This window comes from Homo sapiens, chromosome 19, assembly GCF_000001405.40.
Source record: "Homo sapiens chromosome 19, GRCh38.p14 Primary Assembly".
In the NCBI taxonomy this organism is placed as follows: Eukaryota; Metazoa; Chordata; class Mammalia; order Primates; family Hominidae; genus Homo; species Homo sapiens.
In genome coordinates this window covers 19,856,389-19,876,348 of record NC_000019.10, presented here as the reverse complement: position 1 = coordinate 19,876,348, position 19,960 = coordinate 19,856,389, and the positions used below count along the sequence as shown (strand labels likewise).

At 43.2% G+C, this 19,960-nt stretch overlaps 1 protein-coding gene, 1 long non-coding RNA gene and 2 pseudogenes across 5 annotated transcripts in view, besides 2 other annotated features; 2 read left to right on the top strand and 2 right to left on the bottom strand.

Moving 5' to 3' along the window:
• ZNF253 (zinc finger protein 253) overlaps positions 1-10,519 on the bottom strand; it is a 28,845-nt gene extending 18,326 nt beyond the window's left edge. For 2 of the 3 annotated variants that reach the window (NM_001331133.1, NM_001331134.1), the window contains exon 1: positions 10,350-10,519. Coding sequence is in view for 1 of the 3 variants with exons in the window: in NM_021047.3 (NP_066385.2) it covers positions 10,350-10,352 (3 nt within the window). In the remaining 2 variants the exon portion in view is untranslated. The remainder of the gene's footprint in view (positions 1-10,349) is intronic. The other variant, NM_021047.3, reaches the window with a different exon arrangement.
• On the top strand, positions 5,066-5,625 carry BNIP3P10 (BCL2 interacting protein 3 pseudogene 10; annotated as a pseudogene).
• On the top strand, positions 5,872-17,529 carry LOC124904664 (uncharacterized). Of its 2 annotated transcripts, none has more exons than XR_007067169.1 (4): positions 5,872-9,913; positions 12,540-12,714; positions 15,033-15,286; positions 17,030-17,529. It is a non-coding gene; the product is annotated as an uncharacterized LOC124904664 (long non-coding RNA). The 2 variants fall into 2 exon arrangements; XR_007067168.1 differs by lacking the exon at positions 17,030-17,529 and adding an exon at positions 16,540-16,670.
• Positions 10,007-10,436: an enhancer, noted in NCBI's record as "active region_14375". NCBI's record gives its function as "activates an Ori minimal core promoter by ATAC-STARR-seq in GM12878 lymphoblastoid cells {active_cell/tissue: GM12878}" and the evidence as "EXISTENCE:reporter gene assay evidence [ECO:0000049][PMID:35858748]".
• Positions 14,910-15,460: an enhancer, noted in NCBI's record as "H3K27ac-H3K4me1 hESC enhancer chr19:19971698-19972248 (GRCh37/hg19 assembly coordinates)". NCBI's record gives its function as "activates a minimal SCP1, AML or CMV promoter by ChIP-STARR-seq in naive H9 embryonic stem cells {active_cell/tissue: H9 hESC(naive)}" and the evidence as "EXISTENCE:reporter gene assay evidence [ECO:0000049][PMID:30033119]".
• BNIP3P9 (BCL2 interacting protein 3 pseudogene 9) lies at positions 18,822-19,374 on the bottom strand (annotated as a pseudogene).

Sequence of the window (19,960 nt, the reverse complement as noted above, 5' to 3'; positions counted from 1 at the left end):
AGGTGGAACTTAACTCTCATGAATGAGAGCACTGCCTGTAAAGTTTTAATGAGCTTATAAATCACTTGATAATTTTGACTCCACTTTATGTAATATGATTCTGCAGGTTTGAAAAGGGTCCATAAATGGGTGTTTTAAACAAGTTCTCTGTCAATGCTGATGTTGCTCCCCCTGGGCTCATTGTTAGCATTAGTTAGAGAAGCAGGCACAGCACAGGGTCGCTTACACTCAGCACTCTTGTCACAACCAAATACTTCTGGTACAAATAAAGACAACCCAACTCCATCCTAAAGTTTTATATTCTTTGCTGGCTCTTTAAAGTTTACAGAAGAAACAGAAAGCAGCAATGTCTGAATAAGTCTATATTTAAAAAACAACATGTACACATGTACTAATGCAATGTTTATTAATGAGGTACAATGTGCTCAAGAATATGATACAGAGCACTGTGCTGGGCATAACACATTATGTGATTTAGTTCTCATAATACCCTGGAAGCTGGTACTAAGGGTTTAATAATTTCCAGGATTTAGATAAAGGGCCCAGCATTTTTATTTCTTCCTCTGTTTCTCCATCATCAACTTTTTAAAAAAATTACATAGAATAAAAGCTAAATGTAGACAGATTTCAAGATAAAGAAAGAAAGAGTTTAATGGCTGGGCGCGGTGGCTCACGCCTGTAATTCCAGCACTTTGGGAGGCCGAGGCGGGCGGATCACGAGGTCAGGAGATCGAGACCATCCTGGCTAACACGGTGAAACCCCGTCTCTACTAAAAATACAAAAAATTAGCCGGGCGTGGTGGTGGGTGCCCGTAGTTCCAGCTACTTGGGAGGCTGAGGCAGGAGAATGGCGTGAACCCAGGAGGCAGAGCTTGCAGTGAGCCGAGATCCACCACTGCACTCCAGCCTGGGCGACAGAGAGACACTCCATCTCAAAAAAGAAAGAAAGAAAGAAAGAGTTTAATGTAGTTTAGAGAAAATTTTATTCTGTTTATATTTACTTCTTTTTTTGTGACTTGAGGAGCAACTACTGGATCTGCAGGAATAGAAACCAAGTTGCTAAATAGAATGTCTCTGTTAGCACTGGATTCATAGAAAACTTAAAAACTAACACCCTCTAATACATACTTTGTTTTTCTGATTTATCTGCTTTTGAGTTTCAGTAAATTCTAAGCACCAGCTCTAGAAAGGCAGCAGGATTCACCAGCCAAAACTCTGATCTCTTCTGATCAGTTCTGTGAGGCAAGACTCCAGGATAGAGGCAGACCTAAATAAGGCCTCCAAAAAGGGTGAATCTTAACAGACCTAGGATAGGGTGAGAACCCTATGTAGAATTCTGTTCTCTATGCCACTAGGGTACTTCCAGTTTTGTTTTTTCTAAGCTTATCTAAAAGAAACTTAAATCTCAGAGTTTCTGTAATTTGTTTGTTTGTTTGTTTGAGATGGAGTCTCTCTGTCGCCCAGGCTGGAGTGCAGTGGCGCGATCTCGGCTAACTGCAAACTCCGCCTCCCGGGTTCACGCCATTCTCCTGCCTCAGCCTCCCAAGTAGCTGGGACTACAGGCGCCCACCACCACGCCCGGCTAATTTTTTTGTATTTTTAGTAGAGACGGGGTTTCACCGTGTTAGCCAGGATGGTCTCGATCTCCTGACCTCGTGATCCACCTGCCTCGGCCTCCCAAAGTGCTGGGATTACAGGCGTGAGCCACTGCGCCCGGCCTGTTTCTGTAATTTTTATATTTTCTAGCCACCGCCCTGTCAACTTTATACTATACACTACTATGCAATTTAAACAAATCCCCAAAGGTTTTCTAGGGTAATTTTTATTTTCTTTTTGGAGCTCTGTCGCCCAGGCTGGAGCGCACTGGCATGATCTTGGCTCACTGCAACCTCCGCCTCCTAGGTTCAAGCTGTTCTTTTGACTCATCCTCCCGAGTAGCTGAAACTACAAGCGTGTGCCGCCATGCCTAGCTAATTTTTGTATTTTTAGTAAAGACAGCGTTTCACCATAATGGCCAGTCTGGTTTGGAACGCCTGACCTTGTGATCTGCCCGCTTCGGCCTCCCAAAGTGCTAAAATTACAGGTGTGAGGCACTGCACCAGGCCTTCCTAGGCTAATTTTATTAGAAAATAAATATGTGGCTGGGCGCGGTGGCTCCTGCCTGTAATCCCAGCACTTTGGGAGGCCGAGGCGGGCAGACCACCTGAGGTCAGGAGTTAAAGACCAGCCTGACCATCATGGTGAAACCCTATCTCTACTAAAAATACAAAAAATTAGCTGGGCATGGTGGTGGGCACCTGTAATCCCGGACACTCTGGAGGCTGAGACAGGAGTATCACTTGAACCCGGGAGGCCGAGGTTTCAGTTAGCTGAGATCCCGCCATTGCACTCCATCCTGGGCGACAGAGACTCTATCTCAAAAAACCAAAAATTAATTATAATAACAATTCTTCTGTTCATGAATATCCCTACAGGTGTAGACATCACAAGTCACAACAATATAAAGAAAGTGGTCTAAATAAAGCCCAAGATTTTGGACACATCTATTTATTGCACCAACCATATGACACATAATTCAATTATTTATCCAGTAGCTAATCTAGACTAAAAGTTTCTGGATTGTAGGAACCATGACTGCTTCATTTTTTTTAATGGTTATATGAGATGTAAGGAAATACTTTATCTATTTGGGTCTCCAGATCTCATCCTTGTTTCATTCAAGCACCAGAAACTGGAGAAACTCTCATCTTGGTACCAACCAAAGAAACCTCTTGTATGAGAGGATGAACAAACACAGGATGACTCATTTCTCTTACACTGAGACAGAAGCAGAATTAACCACACTTTTCAGCCTGACACAATTCTGCTCTGGACATCCTCAAATACCTCAAATACACCTAGGAGACTGTGAGAGAATTCCCAGTGTCCCAGGGCTGATGGCCCAATGATAAGCCAGGCTGGAGAGACTCGGGCTGATTCTAAATAAAAAACAGAACTGCACTGGTGGAGCTCCAGAACCTGGATCACCTGTTCTGATTTGCTAGCTCTTTGGGTAAGAGAAAGAACAAAAATACTCTACTCCAGTATCCCATTTTACAGGTAAATATAGTTGTGGTCATGGCTCTGGATACTTTGTGGCCTTGATCTCTCACTCCTAAGATGCTTATTTACACTTACAGATTCTGCCATCAGATTCTATTTCTTCCTAGAGCCTCTGACATAACTGTAGCAGGTCAATGAACAAGATGTGAAAAATCTCACAGAGCCACATTCCCAAATGGGGGCTGTAGGATGTCTATGCTGACATCTCACAATACAGAAAATGCCTTTTGTTAGTTTTCTGTACGTTCACAATCCAAAGTCCGGCCCTTTTTTGTAAATCTGTGGTAGAGGCCAGAACTTATCTGCAGATTCTAGGTAGGATCCACCTGGCTCTGCATCCTTTGGTGTTACAGCAAGTGGAATACAATCAAAGAAAAGATCCCCTCATAGAGGCTGCTCTAGCACATTCTAAATGGTAAGTCTACATGAAAGAAAAAAAAGCTGACACAACATGAATATAAGTAGACAGTTTATTTGGGTCAAGCTTAAGGATTATAACCTGGGAGCAAAGATTCAAGTTGCCTGGAATCTACACTTTGATTAGCAGCAGTTATAAGAGGATTGGTAAAGACAACAAAACAGGGACACAGTGGGCTGATACAAAGTTGTCAGATATTTTTATTTATTAACAGAAATAAACTTGATTATATATATATATATATAATAATATATATATATATATATAGTTATGGTTTAGGGTATGGGATATAGTGTCCAATGTGGCACTATTAGCTTAATTTATAGCTACCTGTGACAATAGTGAACAGTTTCAAGAGATGAATACATAGTTCAAAGGGAGGAGAAATACATAACTGCACTTTATTTTCAACGTCTCTCTGAGTTTGATAATCAAAAGGACTTACATTTGTCAGATAAAAGTTTTTTATTTCCCAAATCTCAAAAACTTGGATTCAAAATGTGGAGCTGCAGATTTAGGACCTGAATGGCTGGAGTAGCAGCAGGTGTTACCTGCACATTTGTAAGGATTTTAGCAAAAAGACAAAGGGGAAAGTGGAGATTCTTGTCTACACATCTATTCAATGCACACGTTACTCTGATTCGGTCTGTGAGCTCCATGATGTCTGAATCAGTTTCAGGTCTGAAGATGCAAGAGTCATTCTAAGAGAGATAAAACGATTGATCACTGCCCAGTGAAGTTGGTAGAAATGTGATCTAGCCTCTCTAGAAGTGACTGTAGAGGACTATAGATGCCAAAAAGGCAGAGACACAATTCTGCCTGCATATTTAGGGGACAGCATGCACTTTGCTGCACAACTCTGAGCTGACTGGAAGCCAGAGAGGGAAAGTCCCCTCTAGAGTAAATTTTGGATGGCACTTTATGTGTTTGTATCATGTCTGGTAATTCTAGACAGTGTTTGGAAACAATAATTAAAAGAAAAATTTCCTCCAGCCCCAGAAAATCTTCACAATAAGACAAAAGAAAGAAAATGGTTTTATTACACAATTGAACTTGAATGTGATATGCATCATCGTCAATCTGCTTAAGAGGCTCCAAAGACAGAAAGATGGTCACCATAATTAGTCTACAATTAGAAGAATTTCCAGCACCATGTCATACATAGTTCATCCTAAATTCACCTGGAGATTGAAGAGGCCATCTGTGTATGTTAATTGCTTATATTCAATGACAAACTTTTCACATCTTCATAACAGGATGTAGTTTAGCAGCTTGAAGCCAGGTGTCTGCTGAAGGCAGGATTTCACTCTGCTACAAAAATGGCTGAGTAGCATTCTATCTTTTTGGCTATTTACATTTTAAAGCAGTGGCTCTGTACTCCCTGGCACTGGGCTACAGCACTCCTGCTTGCTTTCTCCTGAATGCTAGTGTCCTTCCTCTCTTGACCTCTACCATCTGCCACTGAGGCACAGTTCAGAGCACAGCTCACATTTTATATGAACCCCATTTGCCACAGCAGCACTCCAGTGTCACATCAGAGTGAGGCCTGAGCTGCAGGAGGAGAGCCTGCAGGCCTCATGGGTAGAATTGCACCTTCACAATCATGGGAATGTGAGCAGTGTTTCAGCCTCAGTTTCTACTTGTAATGGTGACAAGGAAAAAATACTGCTGAATTTCCAGCATGAGTCCAGATAGAGATAGCTCCAAAAGTTCTCACTGTGAGAGTCCACCTCATTTGGACACCATAGGATAGTAATAGGGCTTCTGAAACAGACATCCAAAGCATTGGAGAGAAAAACAGATCTCCATCTGAGCCAGATTATTTTGAGAGAAAAATGTAAAAAAGATCTTTTAAAAAAGCTCAGGTTAGATATCAGATTGATCAAATGAGCCAGAAAATGTTCCCCTAAAAGCAATTTCTCTCTAACCACCCAAAGTACACAGCTGCTCTCATCATGAGAAACATGAGCATTACGAAGAAAGAGGGCAGATTTTCAGAAGAATTTTATAAAGTTTCTTTTCCATCTCTGCTGCTCTCTCATCTCCTAGCCACTGAATGGGGGTTCTATATTGAAATACATCTGACAACTTCCAACAACACTTTAAGATGAAGAAATAGAATTTGACTGTGTTCATATAGTGGAATATGTTACAACTTGCAACACAGCTAACTGAATAGCTATTATGGTGTTTGGGTGGCCACATCACCTGTCTTTATTTTTCCTGTAATAGCAGCATTCCAACTTAGTGAAATAAAAGATAATAAAATTGTGTTTACTCATAATTATTCCTATTGAGTAAAGTAATAAACATGTCAGACTAATATCTACTCTAACAATTTGGTAGTAAATTTTCTTTGGACATTAGATATAAATATCTAACTATGAATAATTTTAATGAACAGGTCATAATATATGTAGCTTTTTTTTTTTTTTTTGAGACACAATCTCATTCTGTCACCCAGGCTGGAGTGAAATGGTGCAATCTCAGCTCACTGCAACTTCTGCCTCCCAGGAACAAGCGATTCTCCTGCCTCAGCCTGCCAAGTAGCTGGGATTACAGGCGCGTGCCACCACACCCAGCTAATTTTTTATTTTTAGTAGAGATGGGGTTACACCATGTCAGGCTGGTGTCGAACTCCTGACCTCAGGTAATTAACCTGCCTCAGCCTCTCAAAGTGTTGGAATTACAGGTGTGAGCCACTGCACTCGGCAATGTATGTAGTATTTTTAAAAACTGCAACTATACTTCAGTTAAAACACTTTATATTTCAAAAGTATAAATAACAATATTAAAATAACCATTTAAGTGAATCATTCAAAGTAAGTATTGTGGCTTTATGTTCATACTATTGTAGAAAATATTGTTTTTGGCTCACACCGGTAATACCAGCACTTTTGGAGGCTGAAGCAGGTGCATCACCTGAGGTCAGGAGTTCGAGACCAGTCTGACCAACATGGTGAAATCCTGTCTCTACTAAAAATACAAAAAAGTAGCCGGACATGGTGGTGCATGCCTGTATTCCCAGCCACTCGGGAGGCTGAGGCAGGAGAATTACTTGAAACCAGAAGGCAGTGATTGCAGTGAGCCAAGATTACACCACTGCACTCCAGCCTGGGCAACAGAGTAAGACTGTTTTTTAAAAAAAAAAAAAAAAAAAAAAAAAAAGGCCAGGCATGGTGGCTCATGCCTGTAATCCCATCACTTCGGGAGGCTGAGGCAGGCAGATCACCTGAGGTCAGGAGTTCAAGACCAGCCTGATCAACATGGAAAAACCGCATCTCTATTAAAAATACAAAATGAGCTGGGCCTGGTGGTGCATGCCTGTAATCCCAGCTACTGGGAGCTGAGACAGGAAAATTGCTTGAACCTGGGAGGCAGAGTTTGCCTGAGCCGAGATCAAACCATTGCACACCATCCTGGACAACAAGAGCAAAACACCTCGAAAAAAAAAATGTTTAATTTATATTAATGCAGTTTGCCTACAAACCCTACACATAACTATCCTAATTGTTCTGAAGTAATAAATAGAAAGCAAGATACAACTACAGACTCCACTGTTTATGCACTGTTCTTGCTTTTGCAGTATAAGTACTTCAGCCTGCAAATATTGGATAATTACCTTGGATAATCAGGTTTCTGTAAAAGAAACTTAATACCTTTTAGTCTTTAGCATTCTGCATTGCTAAATTTAATCCTATCTTTCTGCTAAGCTTCTGTGTGCTCTTAAAATGAGCTTTTATCTAAACAAATCTGTGTCTAATTTAAAGGACTAAAAATGAAAAAAATAAACTTTTCAGAAGCAAAAATAAAGCAATAATTCTGAAGTACTACATAAAGATAATCTGGACCCGAGAAAATGACAAAGGGTTTATTTAGCTGTTCATATGATTTACATGTATTTCAAAAAAAGCAGAGAAAAGCATCTACATATAACCTAAATTCCTTAAGAAAAGAGAGAATATCAAAATATTTTTTAAGCTTTTTATTTATTTATTATACTTTAAAGTTCTGGGGTACATGTGCATAACGTGCAGGTTTGTTACATAGGTATACACGTGCCATGAAGGTTTGCTGCACCCATCAAACCATTATTTACACTAGGTATTTCTCCTAATGCTGTCCCTCCCCTAGCCCCCCAATCCCCTTTTTTGGAACTTTTTAAAGAGTTTTTGAACTCTTGGACATCAGAATTTTACACACTGTATGCACTTGAAAAAATGCTTATGGGGGAAAAAGCAGAAGAGAGAAAGATATTATAAAAAAAAGTTCATGAGTGCACAAGACCAATGCAACAGAATAGAGAGCCCAGAAATAATGCCACCCTCCTACCATCATCAGATTTTTGGCAAAGCTGATAAGAGAAATGTGGAAAGAATTCTCCATTTAATAAATGGTGCTGGAATAACTAGCTAGCACTATGTAGAAGACTGAAAGTGGACCCCTTCATTACACAATATACAAAATCAACTCAAGATTAATTAAAGACTTAAATGAAAAACTTAAAATTGTAAGAAACCTTGCAAGATAACCTAGGAAGTACCATTCTAGACACAGAAACTGGCAAACACTTCATGATGAAGCTACCAAAAGCAATTGCAACAAAAGCAAAAATTGACAATGGGACCTATTTGAACTAAAGAGCTTCTTCACAGCAAAGGAAACTATTAACAGAGTAAACAGACAACCTACAGAATAAAAAAAATTTGCAAACTTTGCCTCTGACAAAAGTCTAATATCCAGAATTTATTAAGAACTTAAACAAGTTTACAAGAAAAAAAAAATCTCATTAAAAAATAGGCCAAAAAAACATGAATAGATGCTTTTCAAAAGAACATATACATGTGGCTAGCAAGCATATGAAAAAAAAAAAGCTCATCACTAATCATTAGAGAAATTAAGAGAAACCACAATGAGATACCACATCACACCAGTCAGAATGGCTATTTTTAAAAAGTCAAAAAATAACAGATGCTGGCAAGGTTGCAGAGAAAAGGGAATGCTTATACTCTACCTCATAATTGGGTATATACCCAAAGAAATATAAATTATTGTATTATAAAGATACATTCATATGTATGTTCATTGCAGCACTATTCACAATAGCAAAGACATGGACAGGCCCTATCAGTGGTAGACTGGATAAAGAAAACACGGTATGGTCAGATGCGGTGGCTCATGCCTGTAATCCCAGCACTCTGGGAGGCTGAGGCAGGTGGATTGCCTGAGCTTAGAAGTTTAAGACCAACCTGGGCAACATTGCAAAATCCTGTCTCCACAGAAAATACAAAGAGAAAAATTGGCCAGGCGTGGTAACACCAGCGTGTAGATCAAGCTACGTGAAAGGATGAGGTAGGAGAGAATTGCTTGAGCCAGGGAGGTTGAGGCTAAATAAGGCTGCATCACTCCACAGCACTCTAGCCTGGGCAATAAGTGACACTCTGTCTCCAAAAATAAAATAAAATAAAAGATTTAGTAAAAACAAAATATGGTACATAAATATCATGGAATACTCTCTGGCCATTTAAAAATAAATGATCATGTCCTTTGCAATAACATCAATAAAGCTGTAGACCATTATTTCAGAAAACTAATGCAGAAACAGAAAACCAGACATTCGCCATCACACCCAGCTAATTTTTGTACTTTTAGTAGAGATGGGGTTTCCCCATTTTGGCCAGGCTGGTCTTCAACTCCTGACCTCAAGTGATCCATCCACCTCGACCTCCTGAAGTGTTGTTATTACAGGCGTGAGCCACCGCGCCCGGCCCCATAAATTTTTAATAGGAGAAAAGGGAAACTGTGAACCCTGACAGATATAATAGATTCCTCTTCAAGGGCCTAACTTTCTTGTTCCTTGTTCTTAGGACCAACTTTTTTGTACCTCTTTGTACCTAGACACCCGCTCCGTAAACAACCCAAACCGCCTGTTCCAATCTGCGACCCGAACCCCTTCCTTATTTGGAAAGTAGCCAATCGGGTCAGCCTAGATTGTGAGGTCAGACCCCGGCCAATGGGGGAAGGACACAGAGGCAATAACGGCGTTTAGGGTTAAAAACCCCTTTCAAACTGGGAGGCCGAGGCGGGCGGATCAACTGAGTTCGGGAGTTCAAAACCAGCCTGACCAACATGGTGAAACGGCATGTCTACTAAAAATACAAAATCAGCCGGGTGTGGTGACGCATGCCTGTAACCCCAGCTACTCGGGAGGCTGAGGCAGGAGAATCACTTGAACCCGGGAGACGGAGGTTGCAGTGAGCCGAGATCGCGCCATTGTACTTTAGCCTGGGCCACAAGAGCAAAACTCCGCCTCAAAAAAAAAAAAAACCTTCCTTCCTTTCTTCTGTGTGCTCTTGCGATCAGGTCGGACGCGAGCAGCACTCTTCTTCAGAAGTAAATATGCCTTCCTGTGAAATTTTCTAAGTGCTGGGTAGTTTTTTGTTTTGTGTTGTTTTGCGGCACCAAGCGCTTGTTTCTAACAACCTCACGGACCAAAGCTCTTCCCATTCATGAACCCGCAGGGAACCGAGTCAGGATTCTCCCCTGACGACCCTCCCGTGGTCCTTGCATGATCTGGGAGAGACGCGGTGCTGCGGGTGCAGAGCTGCTGAAAGAGGGCTCCAGGCCAGGGCACAATCACTGTGCCGGGCCCCGGATGTCACCGCAGCCGCCATCTTATGGCTGAAGGGGACTGAGGCCGAGCTGGGCAGGGAGAACTCCGGCGGCAGATTGTGGAGCTGACTGTGAGGAAGCAGAGTCCCGCCAGAGCCACTTCCCACCGTTCCAAACAGCCTCTCCCCTCTCTCGGGACGTTGGACCCGGCACTCACCATTTCTAGGCTTCCAGGGGTCCCGGGGTTTAGCTGTGGCTCTCCCAATACTTGCAGGTCACACGGCCACAGAGGACGGGCCTCTATAAGCACAGGACACAGAACACTGAGGATAAACCTGGAGCTCCCGCTGCAGCGAGAAACAAAGGCCCCCAGAAACCATGTGGTTCGCTCCAGCTGCGTGCCTGATTGGACGGTTTCCGGCCCAGCGTCCCTCATTGGATAATGCCTAAGGCCCCGCCTCCCCAGCCGCTGAGTGACAGATGTGATCAGATACTGGGCTGAGTGAAGAAAGAGTGACAGCCTAGGCTGCAGCCTTTTCTTTCTTTCTTTCTTTCTTTCTTTCTTTCTTTCTTTCTTTCTTTCTTTCTTTCTTTCTTTCTTTCTTTCTTTCTTTCTTTCTTTCTTTCTTTCTTTCTTTCTTTCTTTCCTTTCTTTCTTTCTTTCTTTTTCTTTCTTTCTTTCTTTCTTTCTTTTCTTTCTTTTTTCCCCCCACCGAGACGGAGTTTCCCTCTTGTTGCCCAGGCTAGAGTGCAATGGCACGATGTTGGCTCACCGCAACCTGCACCTCCCGGGTTCAAGCGATTCTCCTACCTCAGCCTCCCATGTAGCTGGGATTACAGGCATGCCTCACCACGCCCGTCTAATTTTTTGTACTTTTAGTAGAGACAGGGTTTCTCCGTGTTGGTCAGGCTGGTCTCGAGCTCCCGATCTCAGGTGATCCGCCCGCCTCGGCCTCCCAAAGTGCTGGGATTACAAGCGTGAGCCACCGCGCCTAGCCTAGCTGGAGCCTTTTCAAACGGCTTCCTCCCTGAGCTGAGCATCCCATCCCAGAGCATGGGAAAATTCTATCTCATATTCTCTCTCTTTTTGAATGTATTCAAAAGGTGAACAGAAGTACTTTGCTGTCATATTAATAATACATGAAATGTTTGTTCAAGAGAAAGTCAACTTTTACTTTGGTAATAGTGTATTATCAATACTAAAGCTAATTTTAATAAGACCTTGTAAAGCCAGGTGCGGTGGCTCAGGCCTGTAATCCCAGTACTTTGGGAGGCTGAGGAGGGCAGATCACTGGGTCAGGAAATCGAGACCATCCTGGCTAACACGGTGAAACTCTGTCTCTACTAAAAATACAAAAAATTACCCGGGCGTGGTGGCATGCACCTGTGGTCCCAGCTACTCAGGAGGCTGAGGCAGGAGAATGGCTTGAACCCAGGAGGCAGAGGTTGCGGTGAGCCAAGATCGCACCACTGCACTCAAGCCTGGGTGACAAAGTGAGACTGCGTCTCCAAAAATGAATAAATACATAAATAAAACCTTGTAAATAAACAAAATTTGTCATTTTTGACCTCTCGAGATTTACATATATAATTTGTAATCTCCTGTAATTTTTTAACTATATTTTATTTATATCTACATTCTTTTTATTTTTTCAGTTTGAAACAACCTTTAAGTAATTTCAAACTGTTATAGGAGATAGAAAGAAATCATTTAGGGACAGGTGCGTTGGCTCACGCCTGTAATCCCAGCACTTTGGGAAGCCAAGGTGAGTGGAATACTTGAGGTCAGGAGTTAAAGACCAGCCTGGCCAACACAGTGAAACCCCATCTCTACTAAAAATACAAAAAATTAGGCGGGCGCGGTGGCGGGCGCGGTGGCGGGCGCCTGTAGTCCCAGCTACTCGGGAGGCTGAGGCAGGAGAATGGCGTGAACCCGGGAGGTGGAGCTTGCAGTGAGCCGAGATTGCGCCACTGCAGTCCAGCCTGGGCGATAGAGCGAGGCTCCGTCTCAAAAAAAAAAAAAAAAAAAAAAAATTAGCCTGGCGTGCTGGTGCACATCTGTAGTCCCAGCTACCACGGAGGCTGAGGCAGGAGAATCGCTTGAACCCAGGAGGCGGAGGTTGTGTAAGGCCCAAGGGGTTCACCTGGCCCTTTGCCTAGACAGAGATGATTCATCAAGACAGGGGAATTTGTGGAGGAAAAGTTAAATATTAAATTTGAACTCAATTAAACGTGGACACAAACAATTGTCACGAAGTCCTGGAACAGGTTGTGTGAGCCTTCTGAGTTGTTCATTCAGAGCTGTTTCAGTGATATCTCTATTTCAATCTATTTCTATACATTAGTTATTGAAAAACAATAGACAATCACAAAAGCAAGTTGACCTTTTTGTGTTCCTTGTGCCCAGTTGCGGAAGGCCCTCGTGACTGGACCTCCTGCCAAACAACTCGTTACAAAAAACTGAGGGTACCAGACTGCGCCAAAGCTTCATGAGACCTGTCCTCATCTGTGCAGAAATGAGTGGCCGACTCTGGAACCCAGGCTGTTGCTTACCACCTTGGTGGTGAAACCTCCATACTCTAGTGAGTGTAAATATATATATATATATATATATATATATCTTTTCCTTTCTCCTCTTCCCATTGCAATTTGCTTATTATATCAATGTGGTTCTTATATCAATATGCTTGTTATATTGATCTGTTTATTATATCATTTGCTTATTATATCTGCATTGCCACTTACGTGGAATAAACTTGTTTACCATTAAAGGTGTTGTGTGTGTGTCTTTCCTTCTCCCCTCATGTGTTTCCCACCCGAATATTTTTGGTGTCACAAACAGGATTCGAAAACCAAAGTGTGCCACTTTTTGGCCACAAGGACGGGGCTAGAGGCTCGTGGACTTCCCATATCCAGAGATGGGAAATCCCCCACTTCTCCCCCTTGGCAGTTGAATGGTCCAGGGGAACTGGCCTTTGTGAGAATTGGGAATCTAAATTAGTGCAATTTAAACTTTTGACTGTGCATGAAGGGCTGCAGGGGATTCCAGTCAGCAAAGCAGATGCTGAGGGATCTCCCAGAGTGGATGGTGTTTGCTTACTGCTTATAGGTTAATGTGTCAAGATAGGAGCTGGTTGCATCCTATGGAATGGGAGGAAATAGTCCATTTTATCAAAGGCTAAGGCTAAAATACTAGAATTTGAAATCCCTGCTGCTAAAAAGGAGGCTCAGAAATGTATTGTCTTGTTTGGATTCTGGAGACATCATATTCCCCACTTGGGTAACATTTTACAACCTCTGCATGCAGCCACTAGAAAACACTATGACTTTCACTGGGGAAAGAAGGAGAGCATGGCTTCTGAACAAGCTAAACAAGTGGTGCTGCTGGCCCTGGATCTATGCTCCATACGGGATGGGCCAGTAGAACTGCAAGTAACTGTCCTAGATCAACATGCTAATTGGAGCGTTAGGCAGAAACAAGATGGGAAGAGGTACATTTCAGGTTTTGGACCCAGAAACTGTCATAGGCCGGCAAAGCTTATACCTCTTTCTAGAAGCAATTGTTAGCTTCCTATAGGGCTTTGCTGGAAACAGAACACCTCTGCTTCAACCATGATGTCTTTATGAGGCCTGAAATTCCTATTATGACTTGGGTCATGAGTTCCCCCAAAACTCACCAGATGGGGCATGACAAGGGGGAGAACTGGGATATAGGAAGTCCTTGAGTTTCCAGCCCTGGGATCCAGAGTCAGACACCACACTCCCCAGACTGTGGAGGATTCACCACCAGACCAGGAAGCCACAGCCTGGGCTTCAGAGTCGGCCACTCGTCCACGCACAGACGAGGAGAGGTCTCATGAAACTTCGGCGCCATCTGGGATCCCAGCTCTTTTATTTGGCATAAAGCCCAGTCACGAGGGCCCTTAGTGACTGGGCTCAAGGAACACAAAAAGGTCAACTTGTTTTTGTGATTGTCTATCGTTTTTCAATAAGTAAAGTATAGGAATAGATGGAAATAGAGATTTCTCCAAAACAGCACTGGATGAATGCATCAAAGGTCTCACACAACCTCTTCCTGGACTTGGTGATCATTGTTTGTGTCCACGTTCAATTGAGTTCAAATTTAATATTTAACTTTTCCTCCACAAATTCCCCTGTCTTGATGAATCAGCTCTGTCTAGGCAAAGGGCAAGGTGAACCCCTTGGGCCTTACACAACCTCTGCCTCCTGGGTTCAAGCGATTCTTCTGCCTCGGCCTCTGTAGTAGCTGGGACCACAGGTGTGCACCAGCATGCCCGGCTAAATTTTTGTATTTTTAGTAGAGATGGGGTTTCACCATATTGGCCAGGCTGGTCTTTAACTCCTGACCTCAAGTAGTCTGCCCACCTTGGCCTCTCAAAGTGCTGGGATTAGAGGCGTGAGCCACAGTCCCTGTCCCTAAATGCTTTCTATCTCCTATAGCAGTTTGAAATTACTTAAAGGTTGTTTCAAATTGAAAAAATAAAAGGAATGTAGATATAAGTAAAATATAAATAGTTTAAAAATTACAAGAGATTACAAAATATATATGCAAATCTCGAAAGGTCAAAAATGACAAATTTGATTTGTTTATAAGGTTTTATTAAAATTAGCTTTAGTATTGATAATACACTATTACCAAAGTAAAAGTTGATTTTCTCTTGAACAAAAATTTTACGTATTATTAATATAACAGCAAAGTACTTCCGTTCACCTTTCGAATACATTCAAAAAGAGAGAGCAAAAAAGAGATAGAATTTTCCCATGCTCTGGGGTGGGCCTGGCTCAGCTCTGGGAGAAAGCCCTGCCTGAAAAAGATGCAGCTTAGGCTGTGACTCTTTCATTGCTCAGCGCAGCATCTTATCACATCTTCTCTCACTAGGTCCTGAAGGGGCGAGGCCTTAAGCATTATCCAATCAGGGACACTGGGCTGGAAACCGTCCAATCAGACACCCAGCTGGAGCGAACAGGTCGACTTCCGAGTTTGGCGGGGCCTTTGTCTCTCACTGCACCTGGAGCTCCAGGTCTCATCTTCACTACTCTGTGTCCTCTGCTGCTGGAGGCCCAGCCCTGTGACCTGACGGTTTTGGGAGATCCACAGCTAAGACGCCAGGACCTCCTGGAAGCCTAGAAATGGTGAGTGCCGTCGGACATCACGAGAGCAGGGGAGGAACTGGTTGGAACCGGTGGGAAGTGGCTGTGGCGGGACTCAGGCCTCCCCGCAGTCAGCTCCGCAATCTGCGCCCCAAGTTCTCCTTGCCCAGCTCGGCCTCAGTCCCTTTCAGCCGTAAGATGGAGGCTGCGCTCACACCCGGGCCCCCCGGCGTCCTGTCTCTTCCCCTCGCAGTGACTGTGCCCTGGCCTGGAGCCCTCTCCGGGCAGCTCTGCACCCACAGCGCCACGTGTCTCCCAGATCGTGCAGGGACCACGGGAGGGTCCTCAGGGGAGAATCCTGACTCAGGATGCAAGTTCATGAATGGGAAGAGCTTTGGTGCTTGGTCTTCACAGTTTCCCTTTTCTCCTATTAAAAATGTATGGGCCCTTGCGCGGTGGCTCACGCCTGGAATCCTAGCACTTTGGGAGGCCGAGGCGGGCGGATCACTTGAGGTCAGGAGTTGAAGACGAGCCTGGTCAAAATGAGGAAACCCCATCTCTACTAAAAATACAAAAATTAGCTGGGTGTGATGGCGAATGTCTGTAATCCCAGCTACTTGGAAGGCAGAGGTGACAGAATCGCTTGAACCCAAGAGGCAGAGGTTGCAGGGGCTGATATCTTACCACTGCACTCCAGCCTGGGCGACAGAGCAAAACTCTGTCTAAAAAAAAAAAATATGAGAGTCGCCGCAAAAATATCAAATAATTTAATTAAAGAGTGATTCAAGAATTGTTGAGCACCCAGCTATAGTTTGTACTTTATGGTCCATGGTAGGGGCTTGAAGGAAAGACATTTATAAGGTGCATGATGAAGAAAACCATATTCAATCGTTGGTTAGGTATAGTTACGTAGTTTCTTATTTTGTACAATCGAGGTGGAAATGTCCTAGTTATGATTCAGAGCTTAATTGGCAGTTTATAGTTGTGTAAGCTTGAATTTTATTTCCCTTAATATAGTAATTTAACAAAAAGTGCAATTAATTATTTTCACACCTCACAGGGAACTGATTTTTCCCTGGCATTTTTCACATGTGTCCCAAGCAGGGCCTCAAGTGTACCCCATGTTCCTCAATTAATCATTCTTTAAAAAGCATGGCATAACACTATTGAAAATATTTGTTTTCTGTTTGTAAATATTTCCCAGGAGAAGAAAGCAAAGAATAATCCCCTGACACTGTATTGTAAAAAATATTTGTGTCTTTTTCTTTTTTCTTTTTTTTGTTTTGCTTTTTGAGACAGAGTTTTCGCTCTGTTGCCAGACTGGAGTGAGGTCCTACAGTTGTGCAGCCGCGCGATCTGGGCTCACTGCAACCTCCACCTCCCGGGTTCAAGCAATTATCCTGCCTCAGCCTCCTGAGTAGCTGGAACTACAGTCATGTGCCACCATGCCCAGCTAGAGAGGTTTCACCATGTTGGCCAGGATGGCCTGGATCTCTTGACCTCGTGATCCGCCCGCCTCTGCGTTCCAAAGTGCTGGGATTACAGGTGTGAGCCACCGTGTCTGGCGCCTCTTTTTCTTTTATTTTTCCAGAGAACTTACCGGAATGTTTTTGGGTCAAGATTACCCTTTGGAAACTTTGTAGGATGATGTGTCCTCAGCCAACCTTCAGTTTTTTTCTGGTCCTGGGTTTTAGTACTTTCTGGGAATAAACCAACATACCCACTATGGCTATGTCTGCTAGAGTGTCTAGTGACTATTATCTCTTGGGTCATTTTCTCCCATAGGACCACCTGAAGCATGGAGTGTAGACTTTCAAGGGAGCAGGTGGCAGCCTTGGGGCTGAAAGGCATCTTCTGGTGCACTTTTTTTTTTTTGAAAAGCTAACCCCTTGAGACATGAAGATTGTCTTCACTCAACCTGGCTTTCATTTCTAGGAGACACATTGCTGGTCAGTCAATCAGATGCTGGTATTGAGGGGAAAACAAATAATTTCTGTCTTCTGGATTATCTTGTGGGAGGGGCAGAAAAATAGTGAAAAAACACTCCAAAAGACAAAAAACTGACCCCAGTGAGATGGCATAAATAACTTACAAAGTAAAATGCACCTGGGGCACTCACTGGGGCATAGTGCAGTGTCTCCTGGGAGGGTGGTTATTGCGCATGTAAGTGAACAGGATGGGGTGGGTGATTGGATCTGTACCTTGAAAAGATTTGTTTACTTATTTTGACCTCAGTTTTTTTTTAGACAGTCTCCCTCTGTTGCATAGGCTGGAATGCAGTGGCTTGATCTCAGCTCACTGCAACCTCTACCTCCTGGGTTCAAGTGATTCTCCTGCCTCAGCCTCCCGTGCAGCTGGGATTACAAGCATGCAACACCAAGCCTGGGTAGGTTTTTGTATTTTTAGTAGAGATGGGGTCTCACCATGTTGGCCAGCTTGATCTTGACCTCAGGTGATCCACCTGCCTCACTCTTCCAAAGTACTGGGATTACAGGCATGAGCCATAAACACTGTATTCTACAATCCTATGAATATTAAGCCACAATACTTACTTTGAATTAATCGCTTAAATGGTTATTTTATTTATACTTTTGAAATATAAAGTGTTTTAACTGAAGTATAGTTGCAATTTTTTTTCTTTTTCTTTTTTTTTTTTTTTGAGACGGAGTCTTGCTTTTTCAGCCAGGCTGGAGTGCAGTGGCTTGATCTTGGCTCACAGCAACCTCTGCCTCCTGGCTTCAAGCGATTCTTCTGCTTCAGCCTCCCGGGTAGCTGGGATGAGAGGCGCGCTGCACCACGCCAAGGTAATTTTTTTTGTATTTTTAGTAGAGACGGGGTTTCACCATATTTGCCAGGCTGGTGTTGAACTCCTGACCTGGTGATCCACATGCTTCGGCCTAACAGAGTGCTGGGACTACAGGTGTGAGACACTGCACCTAACTGTAGTGGCAATTTTTTTTTTTTTGAAACAGAGTTTCGCTCTTGTTGCCCAGGCTGGAGTGCAATGGCGCGATCTCGGCTCACTGCAACCTCCGCCTCCCAGGTTCAAGGGATTCTCCTGCCTCAACCTCCTGAGTAGCTGGGATTGCAGGCATGTGCCACACCTGGCCTAGCTAATTTTGTATTTTTAGTAGAGACAGGGTTTCTCCATGTCGGTCATGCTGGTCTCAAACTCACGACCTCCGGTGATCCGCCTGCCTCAGACTCCCAAAGTGCTGGGATTACGGGCATGAGCCACCATGCCCAGCTATGTAGTTGCAATTTTTAAAAATACTGAATACATTATGACCGGTTCATTAAAATTATTCATACTTAGATCTTTATATCTAATATCCAAAGAAAATTTACTACCAAATTTTTACAGTAGATATTAGTGACAAGTTTATTGCTTTATTCAATAGGGAAAATTGTGAGTAAACACAATTTGTGTATCTTTTATTTTACTAAATTGGAATGCTGTTATTACAGGAGACAGGTGATGTGGCCACCCAAAAACCATAATAGCTCTGCAGTTAACGATGTTGCCAGTTCTAATATGTTCCACTATATGAACACAGTCAGTTTCTATTTCTTCATCAAAAAGTGTTGTTGAAAGTTGTCAGATGTATTTCAATATAGAACCCCAATTTAATGGCTAGGAGATGACAGACCAGCAAAGATGGGAAAAAGGCTATAAAATTCTTCTGAAAAACTGCACTTTTTTTTCATAAGGCTCATGTTTCTCATGCTGAGAGTAGCTGTGCACTTTGAGTGTTTACAGAGAAATTGCTTTTAGGGGAATATCTTCTGGCTGATCAATCTTATATCTAATATGAGCTTTTTCTTAAGATCTTTTGAACTTTTTTCTCTCAAAATAATCTGGCTCAGATGGAGATCTGTTTTTCTCTCCAATGCTTTGGGTGTCTGTTTCAAAAGCCCTATTCATATCCGATGGTGTCTACATGAGGTGGACTTTCATAGCGAGAACTTTTAGAGCTATTTCTATCTGGACTTATGCTGGAAATTCAGCAGTATTTTTTCCATGTCCCTACTATAGGTAGAAACTGAGGCTGAAACACTAATCACATTCTCATGATTGTGAAGGTGTAATTCTACCCAGGAGGCCTGCAGGCTCTCCTCCTGCAGCTCAGGCCTCACTCTCTGATGTGACACTAGAGTGCTGCTGTGGCAAATGGGGTTCATATAAAATGTGAGCTGTGCTCCAGGCTGTGCCTCAGTGGCAGATGTTATAGGTCAAGAGAGGACACTAGGCTGGGCGCGGTGGCTCACGCCTGTAATCCCAGCACTTTGGGAGGCCAAGACGGGCGGATCACGAGGTCAGGAGATGGAGACCATCCTGGCTAATATGGTGAAACCCCGTCTCTACTAAAAATACAAAAAATTAGCCAGGCCAGGCATGGTGGCAGGCACCTGTAGTCCCAGCTACTCGGGAGGCTGAGGCAGGAGAATGGCATGAACCCAGGAGGCGGAGCTTGGAGTGAGCTGAGATTGCGCCACTGCACTCCAGCCTGGGCGACAGAGGAAGACTCCGTCTCAAAAAAAAAAAAAAAAAGAGGCCACTAGTAACCAGGAGAAAGCAAGCAGGAGTGCTGTAACCCAATGCCAGGGAGTACAGAGCCACTGCTCTAAAATGTAAATAGCCAAAAAGATAGAACCCTATTCAACCATTTTTGTAGCACAATGAAAGCCTACCTTCAGAAGGCACCTGGATTAAAG